Source organism: Homo sapiens, chromosome 8 (assembly GCF_000001405.40).
Source record: "Homo sapiens chromosome 8, GRCh38.p14 Primary Assembly".
Classification (NCBI taxonomy): Eukaryota; Metazoa; Chordata; class Mammalia; order Primates; family Hominidae; genus Homo; species Homo sapiens.
Window position 1 is genome coordinate 61,777,927 of NC_000008.11, and position 19,197 is coordinate 61,797,123.

The 19,197-nt window shown below is 39.5% G+C and overlaps 1 long non-coding RNA gene across 2 annotated transcripts in view; it reads left to right on the plus strand.

Moving 5' to 3' along the window:
- The first annotated feature begins 7,120 nt into the window (after positions 1-7,120).
- The window catches only part of LINC02842 (long intergenic non-protein coding RNA 2842), a 77,208-nt gene continuing 65,131 nt past the window's right edge, over positions 7,121-19,197 (plus strand). For both annotated transcript variants that reach the window (NR_187554.1, NR_187553.1), the window contains exon 1: positions 7,121-7,230. This is a non-coding gene — a long non-coding RNA (long intergenic non-protein coding RNA 2842). The remainder of the gene's footprint in view (positions 7,231-19,197) is intronic.

Genomic DNA, 19,197 nt, shown 5'->3' on the forward strand with positions numbered 1-19,197 from the left:
CAGTATTATTGGTAATTATGAATTCTAGAAACAAACAAATGCTAGACTAAGTGAAACTTAACAAGTTTCTCTGTTGCAGGAATTCTCTGAGCCTTTAATATGCTTATATGAATGGTTAAGCTTCCAAAGGGGGCCATAGAGTTCAGTATTTTCTAAACTTTATTTTAGAAACTTTTACTTTCAAAAACAAACTGGGCTGATGTTCACAAATTATAAGGCAGGGTTCTTTTGTAGTCTAGCTATGATGTTAGGAACCAAATGTTAGTACTTTCCCTGCTGTTCTTTCTCATTGTTGAAATGGAGATAATCACCCCTATCTGTCAAAGACTCAGGAAGCCTGTTGGTAAGTTGGGTTTGCATAAGCACATAAAAGCATTCTAAGTGTAAAGTATAACAATAGTTTTGAGCTGTACATCTCACACAGAATCCACTTTATAAAACATACTCATAGCTTTATAATCTGTAAACTTTGCTTGCAGATTGAAGACCAAATTTTCAAAGAGTAGCTTTTCATTTGCATCCTGAAGGACATGCAGTGGCAAACATTGCATGTGCAGCTTGCTGGACTGGCAATTCTTACCAAGGCAGCTGAGAGCCACTGCTTACATCTAATGAAAAAAGACTCCTTAAAATTATCTCCAGTTATATACCTAATGTAAATGACGAGTTAATGGGTGCAGCACAGCAGCATGGCACATGTATACATATGTAACAAACCTTCACATTGTGCACATGTACCCTAGAACTTAAAGTATAATAAAAAAATAAAAAAATTATCTCCAGTTATACAGTCTTAACCTTGAAAAATTTACCTATTAGCCAAATATTTGCATTCCTTTTCATTTGAGATATTTCATCAGAATGTCATTTAAACATTTAATGACTCACAATAGAAAATATCCAGAGTGTTACTGTTGGAATCAGATTTTGAAGCCTGCTCATGTAAAGGTCTAGGAGCTGAAAGAGCCCATTTTACTGATGCATGTCCCACCTACAGGTTGCTGAGTAAACTCTGCTTAAGGATGGAGAAAAGAATGACTTAGGGTTTGAAACGTTTTAAGTGAGTAAGAACAACAGAATACCAGCATGTACGTATTTACAAGAAGGAACTCTGAAAGACACGAATTAAGAAACATTACCATTTAGTTTTTGAAACTGTGGTAAAATATACATAACACAAAATTTATTATTTTAACTATTTTTAAATGTACCGTTTAGTGGCATTAAGTACATTCACAATGTTGAGCAACCATTACCAATATCTAGATGCAGAATTTTTTTTTGTTTGTTTGTTTTTTGAGACGGAATCTTGCCCTGTCGCCCACGCTGGAGTGCAGTGGTGCAATCTCTGCTCACTGGATGCAGAATTTTTTATTACTGCAAATGGAAACTTCTTACCCATTGAGCAATGACTCCCCTTTCCCTACTCCCTCAAGCTTTTGGTAACCTTTAGTCCTTTTTCTGTTTTTTCTGATTTTCTTGTTCTGGGTGTTTCAAATAAATGGAATTATACATTATGTGGCCCTTTGTGATTGGTTTCTTTCACTTAGCGTAATATTTTTTAAGGTTTGTCCATTATGTTAGAAAAAACTCAAACTTTTTCCTCTGCTGTTACACCACAACAATCATCAACACAGAAGCCTAGGTGACCAAATCTGGGGGAGTTTCTCCCCACAAATCAAGCAATCAGTTATCTAGCAGACACCAGTAGGGTGTTCAGGTATCTTCCAATTCAATTCTGACACTATCTACCTGGAGATAGCCTCAGAGTCCACAGGTTGAGGAGGCGTCAGTCCTCCTGCCTCTCCACTTCAAGACATGTTGCAAGTCCAGGCATCTGCAACTTCTGACTGATTGGCTTTAAGTTGGGGTCTCACGGATCCTTCTTTGGGTTCGATTAATTTGCTGGAAAGGCTCACAGAACTCAGGGAAACACCTACTTAATGTTTACCGGCTTGTTACAAAGGATATTTTAAAGGATGCAAGTAAATAGCCAGATGAAGAGCTACATAGGGTGAGGCCTGGAAGGGTCCCAAGCACAGAACTTCTGTCACTGTGGAGCTGGGGAGTGTCACCCTCCCCAGCACATTGATAAGTTCTTGTTCACTTTCTTCTAAACTGCCATATGTTGGGCTCTCTGGAAGCTCTCCAAATCCTGTCCTTTTAGGTTTATATGAATCTTTATTACATGAACACTACTGATTAAATCATTGGTCATTGGTGATCAAGTTACTTTCAGCCTCATTCCCCTCTCTGGAGGTTGGTAGGTGGTCTTAAAATTTCAGCCCTCTGGGCACCGAACTGGCTTCCCTGGCAACCAGCCCCACATCCTGTGGTTTCTAGGGGTTTTTCAAAAATCGCCTTATTAACATAAGCTCAGATGTGTTGAAAGGGCTTGCTGTAAATCACAGAAGACTCTTTCACTTTTATCATTCAGGAGCTACTTTAGTAACTGAAGTCAAAGGGTCAAATACTTTATCAAAAGATATCCTTATTGCTTAAGTCACTTATGAAATGACAAGGCTTCCCAGAGCTGAGAGCCATGGGTTGCTTTCACTTTTTGCTATTGTGAGTAGTGATGCTATGAACATTCTTGTATAAAATTTTGTTTGAACACCGGTTTTCAATCCTTTGGGTATGTACCTAGAAGTCAAATTGTCAGGTCTTGTGGTAATTCTATATGTGACTTGCTGAGAAATCACCGAACTTGTTTTGCACAGAGGCTGCTCTGTTTTACATTCCCATCAGCAAAGCATGAAGGTTTCAATTTTGCCACATTCTTGTCAACACTTGTTATTTTCTATTATTGTTATTACTATTATTACTATTTGGAAATAGCCATCCTAGTAGATGTGAAGTGGCCTCTCATTGTGGTTTTGAATTGCATTCTCTATTGACAATTGTCACTGAGCACCTTTTCATGCACTGCTCATTTGTGTAACTTCTTCAGAGAAATGTGTATTCAAATATTTTGTCCATTTTTAATTGGGTTGTTTGACTTCTGTTGCTGAGTCCATTTTATTTTTAAAAAAGAGAGATTTATTTGCCCATCTATTTTCGGATACTTTGGTAGGTGGAATGATCTCCTGAAGATGTCCAAGTTCAAATCCCCAAACCTGCAAGTATGATGCCTTACATGGAATAAGGGACTTTGCAGATGTGATTAAGTTAAAGATTTTGGGGTGAGAAGATTATCCTGGATTACCCGAGTAGGCCAAATGTAATCCCATGGATGCTTACGAGAGAGGCAGAAGTGTCAGAGTGAGATTATGTGACAATGGAAACAGAGCTTGGAGTGAAGTGCTTTGAAAATACAGGAAGAGGCCACAAACCAGGTAGTCTCTAGAAGCTAGAAAAGGCAAAGAAATGGCTTCTCCCCTAGCACTTCCACTATGAAATGCAGCTCTGCCAACATGTAGATGTTAGCATAGTAAAACTCCTTTCTGACCGCTGACAGTCAGAACTGTAAAATTATAAATTGATATTGTTTTGAGCCATGGAATGTAGAGTAATTTGCTCCAACAGCAATCAGCAACTATCCAGTATTTTTGAAGACAAGACGTATATTTTGAAAGTGTAGTAAATATTTAAAGTTCTTTAGAAAGAGATGGGAGAAAGATTTGCACAGATTATGGTCCAAGGTAAATACACTGTAAGTCTACAAAACACCTCCAGTGGACTCATGGTTATCCTGACCCTACAGATTCCTCTACTAGGCATTCTAATAGAAATGTATTCCTTAGATGCAGGATTTTTAAATAAAAATATACGTTTGTGGAGAAACAATAACTAGGAGGAAGGAAACCTATTAAGATAGGACTTTTAAATTTTCTTGTAAAATTACTTACTGCTCAGTAGAGGTCAGTAATGGAACACGACAGAAAGAGATAAAAAAATGAAAACAATAAATGTGAAAAACCTGGAGACATTAATATTAAAGTTTATATGTATGAGTCTCAAAAAATCGAGTTAGAAATATGCCTTGTCTTAAACTACACATTCTTAAAATGCGTGTGCATTTGGTTTTTAAAAAGCCATCTTTATGGAAGCATAAGTTACTGTCAATAGAGTTACCTCTTTTAAGCAAACAATTCAGTGACTTCTGAGTAACGTACACTTCCATGAAACCGCCCCCACAATCAAGGTATAGGACATTCCTATCACCTCCAAAGTTTCCTTGGGTCTCTTCTCAGGCAATGACTAATTTCTTGCCAGGACTATATGTTTGTTCTTTGGGAGTTTGTATAGATGCACATTAAACCTTTAATTTTATATCTTAAATAATTTTAAATGTGATAGGAGAACCATCCATCAAACTATGACAAAAATCCTAGGTGAAATGTATCGTAATTTTAAAAATATTAATCCTCTGAATTATTACTTTAGGAATTTAAAAATATATATATATATTTGTCTTGCTAAAATAATTCTCTTAACTTAAAGTTGTTTTTCTCTTTTCAGTATTTCCTACTTTAAATTACCTATCTATAAAATAGCAAAAAAGTAAAATAATAGTTTAAAAATTCTATTAAATTTTTTATTTTTGAGACGGAGTCTCGTTCTATCACCCAGGCTGGAGCACAGTGGCACAATCTCGGCTCACTGCAACCTCTGCCTCCCAGGTTCAATCAATTCTCCTGCCTCAGCCTCCTGAGTAGCTGGGGTAACAGGCGTGCACCACCACACCGAGCTAACTTTTGTATTTTTTGTAGAGACAGGGTTTCGCCATGTTGGCCAGGCTGGTCTGGAACTCCTGACCTCAAGTGATCTGTCCACCTCGGCCCCTAAAACTGTTGGGATTACAGGCGTGAGTCACTGCACCCAGCCTAGAAGTTCTATTAATATTTTAATGTGAAAAATTTCCTTGGTTGCTTTAGAATCAAGGTTGGTGCTTATTTTTCAAGCAAGCAGTCGTGGTTGTTTACAGAGCAAATGTGGATTACAGGTAAGCAGAATGGAACATTTTGGAATGATTCCCAGCTAAGGTACATGAAAATGATGTTTAAACAAGCCCTGCTATTTCCCAAGAGATATTGCTTAAAAGTTAAGACAAACAATCTAGTAACAGGCTAGATATGTGTTCTATCTTAGAAAGGCACTACACTGATCAAAAAGTACACTTTTAAAATTTGTACCCGTGTGTATGCACACATTTCCACTCCACATCTTCCAGCTGTAATACATCCTGAATATAGTAAAAGCTAATGCTCCATTTAGCTGTTACTGGTTTCAGCAGTTTGAGGGCTATTACTGTTTAACCCGAGAAAGAGGTTATACAGTAATATGTATCATACATAGGGCTTAATTGTAAATACATTCTAATTTCTTTTCTAACATATGTGTTTTTATTCAAAGTTGTACATCTTTTACCTCTGATTTGTTTGGGTCACCTTAACAAATGAATTACAGAAAAAAATATTAAAAAGTGTGCACTGTTAGACTTCAAACCACTTTACCACTATTTGGCCTTCTGTCATTCAGGATGCAGAAGGCAGGGTCAGCAGCTTTCCTAAGCTGACAACCATGAGTGCCAACAAAGCTCTACAAAGTAATCAGTAAAACACACCCAATTACCAGACCACAGAGAAGGGACTTTCCTATGCTTATCAAATAAACAGTGCTCAATCCTCTTGGACTTCCCTGAGAATCAGAGCTACTTTTCAGCAAACTGACAGTTCTCAAAGGTAATCTGTAAATTCCAGCTTCTGAGAAAATGACCATTTCTGACATCAAACGTTGGAATGCTGAAGTTAAGAAAAGCAGTGAAAATGGAAGCAATGGTTGAAATGGACCACTAAGACCCACGAATGATGGAAGTGTCAAGTAAAAAGTTGGCAATATTGAGTAAAAGCCTGGGCTGAATAATGCAGCATCAACTCAGTGCTACACGAGGGACACTAGAAATCTGCAGTGATGCTTGTGATGAGCTGGGTCTGCGTTCCTTCTGGGTGGTGGTCCTATTGTGTTAAACCACTGGAGCGGCTCTGTGGGGAGACTAGTGTGTGTGTAGATAGTCCATGATGGTCTGGATCTTTCGGCCTGAGAACCAGGAAGGCTGAGGGCAGGAAAATATTAATGTCCCAGCTGAAGCAGTGAGGTAAAGAGAGAATTCAACTTTCTTCCACCTTTCTGTTCTCATAAGGCCCTCTGTAGATTTGACAATGCCCACCTACACTGGGGAGGGCCATCTGTGCTACTCAGCTCACCAATCTAAATGCTTATCTTGTCCAGAAGCACCCTCATAGACACAAGAACTAATGTTTTGGCAGCCATCTGAGTGTCCTTTAACCCAGTCAAGTGGACACATAAGATTAACCATCTCTGTGGATAATCCACATTTTTCCTCTCTTGTAGACTAGATGAAAGGGCCTTCTGTCATCACTAGAAATGGCACCATAGTCTGACCCAATGCAGGGGAAGGGGCAGGCTCTGACTAAACTGCTAGTGGGAAACCATCCAGTCCGCTGGACTCTCAACACTGCAGCACTTCTGCTACTTTAGATGTTTCATTATGAAGTTTGTGGCATTTAATACCCCTCCAAGTACTTCCATGCACATCATTGGAGATGGCGTAGTGAGGAAGTGATTTTCACTTTGTTTTACAGATCCCAGGGTGAGGGAGGGGTTTTCACTTTGTTCTACAGATCCCAGGGTTCTGTGGGGGATTTCTTAGCATCCACACACGACTTAAACCACACCAGCTGGGTTTGTCAATCTATTTATTATGAAGCTGGGTACTCTTTAGATAAAAGGCTTTAACTGCTGAAAAAAAAGTTTAGAAAATATGAATAAAATGCCTTAAAAGCCTGTATTTTACTCCTGGCTTTACACTGTCTAGCCCTGTGGCCTTGGATGTTTAACTCATCTAAACTGTAAATTATCTAACTATAAAAGAAGAGTAGTAACATCTCACAGGGCTCTTAAGAGAACAAAAGTTCATAAACATAAAACTTTTATTGGAATGCCTGACACTTAGTGCTCAAAACACAGTGGTGGTTGTTAATACTATTGTAATGTTATCAGATCTAGAAGTTTAGGAAGAGTCTGGAGTGGTCTTCAGCATTATGAGGTCATAGTTATCCTTGTGTCCAGCTTTAGCATAGAGCAGAGTCTGCTCCTTAATGCATCCCTGGATCATAGCAGACTCTGCCTATAGAGGCCTGGGGTCCCTTTGGCAGCACTTTTCTCAAGAAAGTAGAGTCGTGGACAACCAACTGCACAGGTTGGGAGGTAAGAACTTTTTTTTTTTGTATTGAGAGTAAGCTCTGGGGTAACATAATGGTGTAGTTTGCTTTAGATACTTATCTTTTTAATAAACTAAGCTGGGTGAGCAAGTGTTTTGGAAAAATATCTTAGGATCCTGAGAGAGCTAAAAAAGCCATGGAGAAATCATTACAGGATGCATTTTAGTTTTGTGAATTATATTTAACACAAACTGATTAGTTCATAAAATGATTTACAGATGCAATAATAGCTACCATATTTTATCACTTTACTTGCATTTTTAAATTCCCATTCCCATAACACATTGCAAGGTAACATTGTAAATATGAAAACACTGCCCTATAATCAGAAGCAGAAGGTGAATGAGGACCCAAGTCTTTCTGACTCTAAAACTCATGCAATTTTTGCTTTACCCCACCTATAGTATCCCAGAAAATGTCAACATCCTGGAGGATGGGAGCCCCTTTTTGGGGATAGATGCTCCAGGTGTATCTGCTTAGGTGGGACTTACACTTCACTTTCCCTGGTGCCTTGCCCCAGTGCCTCCTCTTCACAGCAGATTTGATCAAATATGGGCATCAGACAGGTAGAGATCACAGCATCTTCCTCTGTGCCAATCTTGGGACTATGAAAGAGAGAGAAACTCACCTTTCTCATTTTCTCCCACCCATTCCTCCCCTACCTAGTCCTTAATTATAGCACAATCAGACATACTTTTACAGAGAACACCAAAATTTAGAGCCAAGGAAATATGTTTATACTGGCACCATCCCTGTGGCTTATCCCTGCAGGTGTCCTCATAAGGATTGTTATTTATTTAATATTATAATGTCAAAATTTAAACTACAAGGAGATGTGCACTCTCCTAGAAGCACTTAGATTTGGTGAATATTGAGCCACACCCTTTCCTTTGTTGTTGGCACAGAGGCACGATATCTCTGTAGGAAGATAATTGCCAATGAGTGAGTCATTTTTTTTCTAGGAAAACTTACAGCCTCCATCACTCTTCAGGAGAGTGGCAGTCAAGGAGTAAGACTCAAGGAAAGGTCAGTGCTTGGTTGAGAGCCTAAATCTTTACCTTGGGTTGCAAGTGAACATTTGGGAAGAGCCCATGGCCTGGAGAGAGAGCTAGTGGCCAGGAAGAGCAAACAAATGGATTGCCACTGCCACCTGCCACATTGGGCTGCCACTGGCAGAGCTGCTGAGTCTGCAGGTGCAGTGATTATGCTGTGAAAGATTCAAATAGGACAACCCTATGTAGCAGTGGCCAGGGGGCAGGTGAGTGGTGTAACTCTGGAAGGGGTTCTTGTTATTTTCAGCTGGGATTCCAACAAGATAATGACTGTTGGTACTAAAAAGAGCTTGAAACAATTATCTTTCCAGAGTTTTCCTAGAAAACTAATGAGCACACAATGTCACCATAGAAAACTCTAGACCCAGGTCAAAAGGCATTTGGCTTGTAACTATCACTACAGAACCAAGTAAACAGTCAAGAATAATAAATGCCTGGAATAATAAATAGCAGCATAATCAATTGGTAAAAAGCTTCCTGAAAAATCACTGTTGAGCATTTGCAGATATAAAGGTTAAGAATTTAGTACAAATAATAGTAAAGTCCCCAAGGGAACATAGAAAGAGGGGATAGCTTTGTGTTCAAGATCATGTTTCACAATTATTTTTCCACTAGGTGAGTTATCATTATCCACAGCTCATTTTTCTTCTTTCTTCCTTCAAAATATCCCAAGTTAACATATTCATATGAGCCCCCTTCTTGAAGAGCCAGGGTCCTGGGCATTGTGTGTCCCAGGGATCTGGTCAGGTTCAATGGGAAGTTTCAAAGTTTCGATGGGTGTGTATGAAGAGGGCCAGTCCTCCATGGCCTGCACTTTCTGGAGCCCAGGAGGGTGACATAAATGGGAGGTCCATAGGGAGAAATTTCAGATGAAAATCAGGTAGATCATGGAACAGTTGGCTTGAGACAGCCAGACAGAGTGGGAGGATCCAGGTTCAAGGAAAAGGTACAGAATTTTAGGAAAATGGATGAGAGCAAGTGGATTGTGAGCAGTGGCTGGTTGGGAGAGCCTGATGAATGTTCTGAACCTAACACAGTAGCCGCATCCTACTCACAAGGACACTGGGCTTCAGGCATTTGTGGTGGGAGGAGAGGTACTGGCAACCTGGACACGATAGAGTGTTTCAGTGCTCCATTGCTGGGTGTCTGCCCTCTGACAAGGCAACAGTGGTTTACTCTTTCTCATAATTCTGTGGGTTTGCACTCTAAGTGGTTCTTCTGCATATCATGAATGGCTTGACTGGAGCTGGTGGCCAGGCTGGCCTCACTTACATGCCTGACAGTTGGTACCGGCTGTTGACTATGGCACTTTGTTCTCCCCATGAGGCCTCCCATCCTCCACTAGGCTAGAGTCAGCTTCTCCACAATGTACTGGTAGCAGGCTTCCAGGAGAGCAAGAGCAGAATCTGCCAAATCTTTGAAGGACTAGGCTTTGTGATTTATAGGATGCCTTATTTTATGTTCTGTTGGCCAAATAAATTTGGAGTCAGGGCAGATTCAAGGCAGCAGAGCAATAGACTACCTTTTGATGGGAAGAAGAGCAACCACACATTGTGAAAGAGTGTGGACATGGGGAGGTCTGATTCATTGGGGATCCTCATTGTAACACTTTAACACAGGGAATATTTTTCTTAACATGGCTTATCTCTTTTGGGGTATGCATTATGTTACATAGATTATCCTGGTCCTTTATGCTTATTTTTGATGTCACATAGGCCTTTCAAAATTTATTCAGTAAGCATTTATTAGGCACCTGTTATTTTCTTGGCAGTGTGCTAGATTCTGGGGATATTATGGTGACCAAGATTATAGGTAATCTTAAAGGAATTTTCTTTTTATTTCCTATAAAATCAGGTAAACAGTGAGTCTATGGGTGGGGTAGGAAGGGGGAGAAATACAACAGGATATAACAGGATAGAAGGGTGGCAGTAGAAAGCTAGCAACATGGTAAAGTTGGTTGGAAGAAGCAGGATTATATTCTCTGATGTTTTCAAAAGCTACCAATAAGGGATGATTTCATTGTTCTAGACATAAAATTAATTTTTCTTTTTTTTTCAGGAATAATCTGAGTTTAAAGAAAGGAGGAGTCAGTGCTGGGATTTCTTGGTTCTAGTGGAAAGTAGTTTTTTAAAATTTAATTGACAAAAGTTATATATATTCAGGTACACGATGTGATGATTTGATATACATGTACCTGTATAATGATAGCCACAACCATTAATTAATGTAACCATCACCACCTATAGTTACCCTTTTCTATGCGTGTGTGTGTGTGTATACGTGCATGCAGTGAGGACACTTAAAATCTACTCTTACAAATTTCAAGTAAACAAGGCAGTATTATTTACTGTAGTTCCCAGATTGTACATTAGATTTCCAGAACTTATTCATCTTTTTTTTTTTTTTTTTTTTTTTTTGAGACAGAGTCTCACTCTGTCATCTAGGCTGGAGTGCAGTGGTGCAAGCTCGGCTCACTGCAACCTCCATCTCTGGGGTTCAAGCAATTCTCCTGCACAGGCACGTGCCACCACGCCCGGCTAATTTTTTTGTATTTTTAGTAGAGACTGGGTTTCACCATGTTAGCCAGGATGGTCTCCATCTTCTGACCTCGTGATCTGCCCGCCTTGGCCTCCCAAAGTGCTGGGATTACAGGCGTGAGCCACCGCGCCCAGCCAGAACTTATTCATCTTATAACAAACTTTGTACCCTTTGACCAACATCTCTCCATTTCCCCTATCCCTGAGCCCCTGACAACCACCATTCTACTCTCTGCTTCTCTGAGTTCAACTTTTTTAGATTCCACACATAAGTGATATCATATAGTATTTCCACATATAAATGAGACCATATAGCATTTTTTTCTGTGACTTTTTTATCCCAATTACCATAAATGTCCCCAAGTTTCATCCACGTTGTTGCAAATGACAGGATTTTCTTCCTTTTTATGGTCCAGTAATATTCTACAGTTTCTTCATCCATTTATAAATTCATGAACATTTAGTTTGATTCCATACCTTGGCTCTTGTAAATAGTGCAGCATTATTTACAATAGCCAAGGTATGGAATCAAACCAGATATTAATTCAACATACTAATTTCGTTTTCTGTGGATACATACCCAGAAGTGGGATTGCTGGATCATATGATCTGTGTAGGTTTGTGTTGCTGTCTATGCATTTCAAGTACCAAATACCTCTTTCAGTCTGTATAGATGGTTCTGTAGATAAAGGCCCTCTTCTATTAGGTCCCCAGGCTGACTCTGAGATTTCCTCTGGGATCACAGTTGAGCAGGGTTAGAGCTAGGTCATGTGGCTTCTACTGAGTGCATAGTGAGGTATAAGGTAGGTGAGCCTATTACCCGGGCTCAAGCAAACATGGATCCTGTCTGGGCTCTGGGTGGACTGGGCTGCCCCCAGAAGCATGGCCAGTAGGGCTGGTGCTGAATGAGGGTCTACTTCTGAGTCTGTAGATGGCAGTCCTATAACCTGGTATGTGGATAGGTGTGGCTTCCTCCAGGTTTCTGGATTGGTTTGCTCTGGGTCACTGGGTGGGTCCCTGGGCAGGCAGTGCTGGCCCTCAGCCATGGCTGAGAGGGGCTCGACCTGAGTCACAGGGCTGCTACAGGGTCCACAAATGAGACCGAGGTCTGCAGGGCACAGACCCTTGGGGGACACAGATGAGTGTGTCTCTCTCTGGGGTCCTGGAAAAGCAGGCTGCTTTCAGACTGCAGCTGAGAGGAACTAGAGCTGAGGCTCAGGGCTATTTCCAGGATCTGCTGATAGTGGAAAGTAGTTTTAATGCCCTGGGCTATCTCCTAGAGAAAGGAAATGTCCAGTGATGACTCAGAACTACAGTAAGCCAATTGTGGGTTATCCACGACATTTCCCAAACTCAGAGTCAAGGCCAAACCTGTTCATCCAAATAATTGTGCCCTAAAGCCTGCACTCCTGGAGCGATCCCATATGGACATGGAGCCATGGCCTGTTTCCTGGGTATGGCGGTGAGAGGAGAACCTCCTGCACTGGCAAATCTGATTGGTGCAAATGTGCCATCTGTCACTTGTCTGGCCCACAACTACCCCTTCAAGCATGCCGGTGTGGGATGAAACATAGAAAACAGAGCCCGGGTCTGCTCAGTCCTTTGTTACACTGATATGGCTGCCAGGTTGCCTCACACTCAACTATGAACCACCAGGGCTTAAAACAAGCAGAATCTCATAGTTTCTCAAATCTTATGCCTTGTGTTGTGTAAAAAAGTCAGAAAATACACTGTCAGCTGGCACAATGAAAATCTAATGGATTTACTAATTTTTAAATAAGATTAAAACCCATTGATAATTTAAATAATCTATTTTCATAACACTTCATTGCAAAAAAACTCAATGTTTTCTGGACTTTCTTTGTGAATTTTTTTTTTTTTTATTTTGAGATGGAGTTTCACTCTTGTCGCCCAGGCTGGAGTACAATGGCCTAATCTCGGCTCCCTGCAACTTCCACCTCCTGAGTTCAAGTGATTCTCCTGCCTCAGCCTCCTGAGTAGCTGGGATTACAGGCGCCGGCCATCACTCCTGGCTAATTTTTATATTTTTAGTAGAGACAGGGTTTTACCACGTTGGCCAGGCTGGTCTCCAACTCTTGACCTCAGGTGATCCACCCACCTCAGCCTCCCAAAATGCTGGGATTACCTGCGTGAGCCACGACACCCGGCTTTCTTTGTGAATTCTTTCAATATTTTTCTGAGGCAGATGGAGAACAAATACCTCTATTGCAGGTGCTCAGAAAATCTACTGTGGGGAATTATATTAAGAAGAACCCAGCACATGTCTTGCTCCACACAAGCACTCAGGTTCCCTGCACTAATGTTAGAATGGTCCTAGGTGGGCGTTTGCTTTCTGTGAAGCCCCAGCTGCCTTTCTCACAGTCTTTCAGAACATCTGCCAGTGCTACCCAAACAAATCCTGGTGTAGTTAGGCAGTCCTAATGTAAATGCTTAATAGAGGCATGGCATTCTTGTTTGATTACTTTACTGCTGCAAAGAAATAGGGCCCAATTTAACATTAAGCCTGTCATTGGTGAACAGTGCTCTTTTGCTAGTGTAAACAAAACCCCTTGCATTTTGACAATAACATATTCAGAATTTAAATTAAACTAAGCTAGAAAATTATAACTGTAGGGTAGCAACTAAGTCATTCTCACACAGAATGTTTGTAAAATGTAAGTTGATGGCTGGACATGGTGGCTCACACCTGTAATCCTGGTGCTTTAAGAGGCTGAGATGGGAGGATTGCTTGATCTCGGGAGTTTGAGACCAGACTGGGCAACATAGCGAGACCCCTGTCTCTATAAAAAATAAAAAAAAATTAGCCAGGCATGGTGGCGTGCACCTGTAGTTCCTGCTACTTCAAAGGCTGAAATGGGAGGATCACCTGAGAGGAGAGCAGGATTGTGTCACTGCACTCCGGCCTAGGTGACAGAGTGAGACCTTGTCTCAAAAATAAAAAAATAAAATAAAATAAAAAGTAAGTTGACATCGCAGCTTAGTAGAATTGACTTTATGGGAAGGAGGTGCGGGCACTGGCTGTAAAATCTTTTTGTCCTTTACATTGGGGGATCTCTCATGTCTTCTGGTTATTTATTTATTTATATTTGTTTGTTGATTCAAATGCACTTGTGGGGAATGTGAGTGGATACTAGACAGGCTATGTATTTTATTTAAGAGAGGAATGGTGTAAATAATACAAATAGGCCTTGATGTTCATCTTCCTGTGGGCTTCTCTGTATAAACCCAAAAGTCCTCCATCTTTTATTTTCCAAGTAGGGGAAGTGGAGTTGGTCAGTGTCTCAATGTTTGTGGACATTTATTCCTAAGTGTTGCCGTAAGGGCTCTTGTCGATAAGAAGGGCAGCTCTCTTCTTCTATGTCTCAGGCTGTAGACTGAGGTCTCAGCAGAGGCTGTCATTTTGTTTAGCAGTTACTGATAATGACAGATCTAGTATATCACCACAGGAGGGAGCAGATGGCATGCAGTGGGTGAACAAGGCCGTTGTAAAGAGGAGACCAAGAAACCAAGGGATCGGAGTGTTGTAAGGATCATCTCTGTTGTAGACTAAAACTTCTAAGAGTGAAGTCAGGAGAGAGTCTCAATTCTAGGAAGAATGATGGGAGCTCCTAGGGGGTCTATAGGTGACAGGAAAAATAAGGAGTTACAGTGGTGTTATTTTATGACATAATCTTCAAAGCTGGAGTGTTTCAGGGAAAAAGGAGGGAGAGTGGTTTAAAACTGGGAAGGAGGAACAAGAAGAATATCCTCCCACCTCTGAGTAGAACTGTATAAGGCTGGTGGGAGAAAAACAGGTAATTCTTAGAAGGATTACAGGAGAAGTAATATTTTCAGGGAAAGCCAGTTTTTTGTTCTACACTGAAGGTGAAATGAAGATTTAGAGATGAGGTTACAAATATGGGGGATTTAAGTGAATTAACACAGGAACAGAAAACTAAGTCCTGCATGTTCTCACTCGGAAGTGGGAGCTATACATTGAGCAGACATGAACATTAATATGGGAACAAGAGACACTGCAGACTACTGGGGTGGGAGGGAAGGAGAGGCAAGGGTTTAAGCTACCTATCCAGTACTATGCTCACTACCTGAGTGCAATATACCCATGCAACAAACCTGCACATGTATCCCCTGCATCTAAAATAAAAGTTGAAATTAAAAAAAAAAAAGAATATAGGGATTTTGCAGATAATGGATGGGGAGTTCTAAAAGGCACAGTAGAAGGATTTCTGGAATTTGAGATGGAGAAAGGTGAGAAGAGAAGAAATAAAAGGATCAGCGAAGGGCTGGTGGATGATTGAGGGATGACTGGGAGTCCAGCCTTGGGTGACAAAGAGAAAAAAGGCATGAGTTTAATTCCAATGCATAATCAAGGCAGAGACTACGATATTGGAGGATAAAAAAGTGTGCATTTCAGCAGCTTCCTGTTCGTCTCGATGAGGTGTAGAAGGTCTAAAGGAGGAGACTCCTGTTTGACTTCTAATACCTATTGGTAGAGCAGGAAGTGTATATTTTCCATCTTCATCCCTTTGGATGGAAGGGAATCTTCTGGGGAAAGCCTGATGTACCCCCTCAGTAAGGCCTTTTCACCCCTGATGATAGGGACAGAAGAGTCATGTGGGGATGGTCTCCTCCCAGTGCGCTGGTTCATTTAAGACCCTGGGATAACATGATGTACTGCCTGAATTGTCAAGGATTTGAGGTATTCTCCAAATTCACAGGGACGTAGAATATTGAAGGTAAAAGAAACCTAAGAAAATTTCAGGCTCAAACCTTCAGTTTCACAAGAGAGAAAACTGAGTCTGAGAGGGCCAACTACCTTGGCTGAGGTTTCCCCTATTAATAGAATTATAACAGAGATATTCTGATTTTAGGCAATGACTCCCACATTTCAACAGCCCTGTGTTGGTCCTGAGATGTTCATAGTTTTAATTAAAAAAATCTTTCCCAGTCAGCAAATTCATAGGCTTTTTACTATATAAACTGTAGTAAAAACTTTACTATAAAACTCTTCTTTTTAAAGCTTATGTTTTAATAATAAGGATAAAGAGTTTGCTTATATTTCAAGCATTTTCCACACTATATGAAATACCATTCCATAGACAATTTGGCGTATGTTCAAGAGGATGGTCTTCCAGGGCACAAAGGCTGTGCCTGTGAAGTTGAGGAAACTGTTACATGGAGACTGTACCTAAGAAGGGTTTCTAAGGCCGGGCGCGGTGGCTCACGCCTGTAATCCCAGCACTTTGGGAGGCTGAGGTGGGTGGATCACGAGGTCAGGAGATCGAGACCATCCTGGCTAACACGGTGAAACGCCGTCTCTACTAAAAATACAAAAAATTAGCCAGGTGTGGTGGCGGGCGCCTGTAGTCCCAGCTACTCGAGAGGATGAGGCAGGAGAACGGCATGAATCCAGGAGGCGGAGCTTGCATTGAGCCGAGATGATGCCACTGCATTCCAGCCTGAGGGACAGAGCAAGACTCTGTCTCAAAAAAAAAAAAAAAAAAAAAAAAAAAAAAGGAGGGTTTCTAAACTTCTGAGGGTAAAGTAAAGCCTCTCCTTAAATATCTGTGGAAATATGAAACACATTGGGTCATCAAGATTCCTCAATTTTGTAGCTATGACTTTTTAATCAATAGTTTTTGAACTCTTTTTTTGAGGAGGTCTTTCCTGGGTAACTTGGAACTCTACTTCTTCTCTTTAGAACAAAAGTGGATAGTCCTCCACAGATATAATATATATGAGGACATTTTATATCAATGTAATTATACAATAGGTGGCCTTTTGTGACTGGTTTCTTTCACTTGGCATAGTCTTTTCAAGGTATATCCATGTTGCTGCATGTATCAGTATTGCATTCCTTTTGATGGTTGAATAATATTCCATTGCATGGATACATCCCATTTTGTTTATCCATTTATTGGTCGATGGAAATTTATATTGTTTCCACATTTTGGCTATTGTATTACTCCTATGAACATTCTTGTTCAAGTTTTTGTTTGACACTTGTTTTCATTTTTTTGTGTGCGTGCATATACCTAGTATTAGAATTTCTGGGTTATATAGTAAATTCCATAAATAACTTGTTGAACGTTTGCCAAACTGTCTTCCAAAATATCTACATCATTTTACATTTACACCGGCAATGTATGATGGTTGTAATTTCTCTGACTTCTTTCTAACACTTGTTCTTGTCTTTCTTTTTGATTTTAGCCATTCTAGTGTGTGTGAAGGGCTATCTCCTTGTGGTTTCGATTTGCATTTCCCTAATGACCAATGCTGTTGATCATCTTTTTGTGTGTTTATTATCTATATGTATATCTTTTTTTGGAAAAATGACTATGCAAATCCTTTGCCCATTTTTTAATTGGATATTTGTCTTTTTATTGCAAGTTGAGAGGATTCTTTGTATTTTCTGGAAACTACACTTTTATTGGAATTATGATTTGCAAATATTTTCTACCATTCTATATGTTGCATTTTACTTTGTTAATATGTCTATAAGTGCTATATCTTCTTGATGGACATTGACACTTTATAATTATAAAAAGTCCTTCTTTGTCTCTAGTGCAATTTTTTTAAATTAAATTTTGTTTTAAGTTTTGGGATATATGTACAAGATGTGCAGTTTTGTTACACAGGTAAATGTATGCAGTGGTGGTTTGCTGCACCTATCTACCCATCACCTAGGTATTAAGCCCAGCATGCATTAGCTGTTTATCTTGATGGTCTCCCTCTCCCCGGCCTCCCCAACAGGTCCCAGTGTGTGTTGTTCCCCTCCCTGTGTTCACGTGTTCTCATTGTTCAGCTCCCACTTATAAGTGAGAACATATGGTGTTTTGTTTTCTGTTCCTGTGTTAGTTTGCTGAGGATGATGGCTTACAGCTCCATCCACGCCCTTGCAAAGAATACGATCTCGTTCCTTTTTATAGCTCCATAGTATCTTGTGTTTCTTTTTGTATGATATTATTATAGCCACTCCAGCCTTCATTTGGTTAGATTAGATGATACATTTTTTTTTCAGAAATTTTGCTTTCAAACTATTTGTGTTTTTGGATCTAAAGTGTACCTCTTTTAGACAGTATGTAGTTGTATCATTTAAAAAAATTCAATCTTCCAATCTCTGCCTTTTAATTGGAGTGTTAATTCATTTACATTTGATATAATTACTGATATATTAGGATTTATGACAGCCATTTTGCTGTCTTTCCTATATCTTTTTCTTGCCCTTATATTTTTCTATTACTGTCTGTTTTGTGTTAAATAGATGCATTATTCTATTGCACTATTTTAATTTTCTTATTTTGCTAAATTTTTTGAGTTATTTCTTAGTGCCTAGTATTACAATTAGCGGATTAGCTTAAAAAATCTAATGCATAATAAAATCAGCTAAATTTCAATAATATACAAAAACTTTACTCCAGTCTAACTCTATTTCTTCCCTCCTCCTTTTTGCTATTTTCTCATGTAAATTATATCTTTATACATTGTAAGCCGACAAGCACACTTGTGTAATTATTGCTTTATGCAGTTGTCTTTTACATCAGATAGGGGAACAAAGGACTTAAAAACAAAAGATGCATTTACATTGTCTTTTATTTTTACCTATGTAGGTACTTACTGGAGCTATTGATTTCTTCATGTTGCTTCAGCTTACTGTATCATGTTCTTTCATTTTAGCCTGAAGAAATCCCTATGGCCTTTTTTTTTTTTTTTTCTAGGCCAGGTTTGCTAGCAACAAAATTCTTTTGGTTTTTGTTTATCTGGAAATGTCTTACATTTTCCTTTATTTTTGAAGGATAGTTTTGTTGAATATAGGATTCTTGGTTGAGGGTCTTTTTCTTTCAGCACTTTGAATATGTCATGTGACTGCCTTTTGGCTTCCAGTTGTTTTTGATTATAAGTCAAATGTTAACTTATTGGGGAATTTTTTTGTAGGTAATAAGTTGTTTTTTTCTCACTGCTTTCAAGATTTTTTTTCCTTTCCAGGTTTTGACAGTTTGACTATAGTGTGTGTACATGTGGATTTCTTTGAGATTATCCTCCTTGAAGTTTGTTGAGCTTCTTAGATTCATAGATAAAACTTTCATCAAATTTGTAAAGGGTGCCATTATTTCTTCAATTATTCTTTATGCTCCTTTCTTTCTCTCCTCTACTTTTGAGACTCACATTATACATGTGTTGGCATATTGAAAATATCCCATGTGTATCTGGGTACTCTTAATTTTTGTAAATTTCTCCAGACTTTATCTATCTTCAAGTTTACTTAATTCTTTCTTCTGCTAGCTTACATCGGCTTCTGAGACCCTCCTATGAATTTCACACATCACTTATTGTACTTTTCAA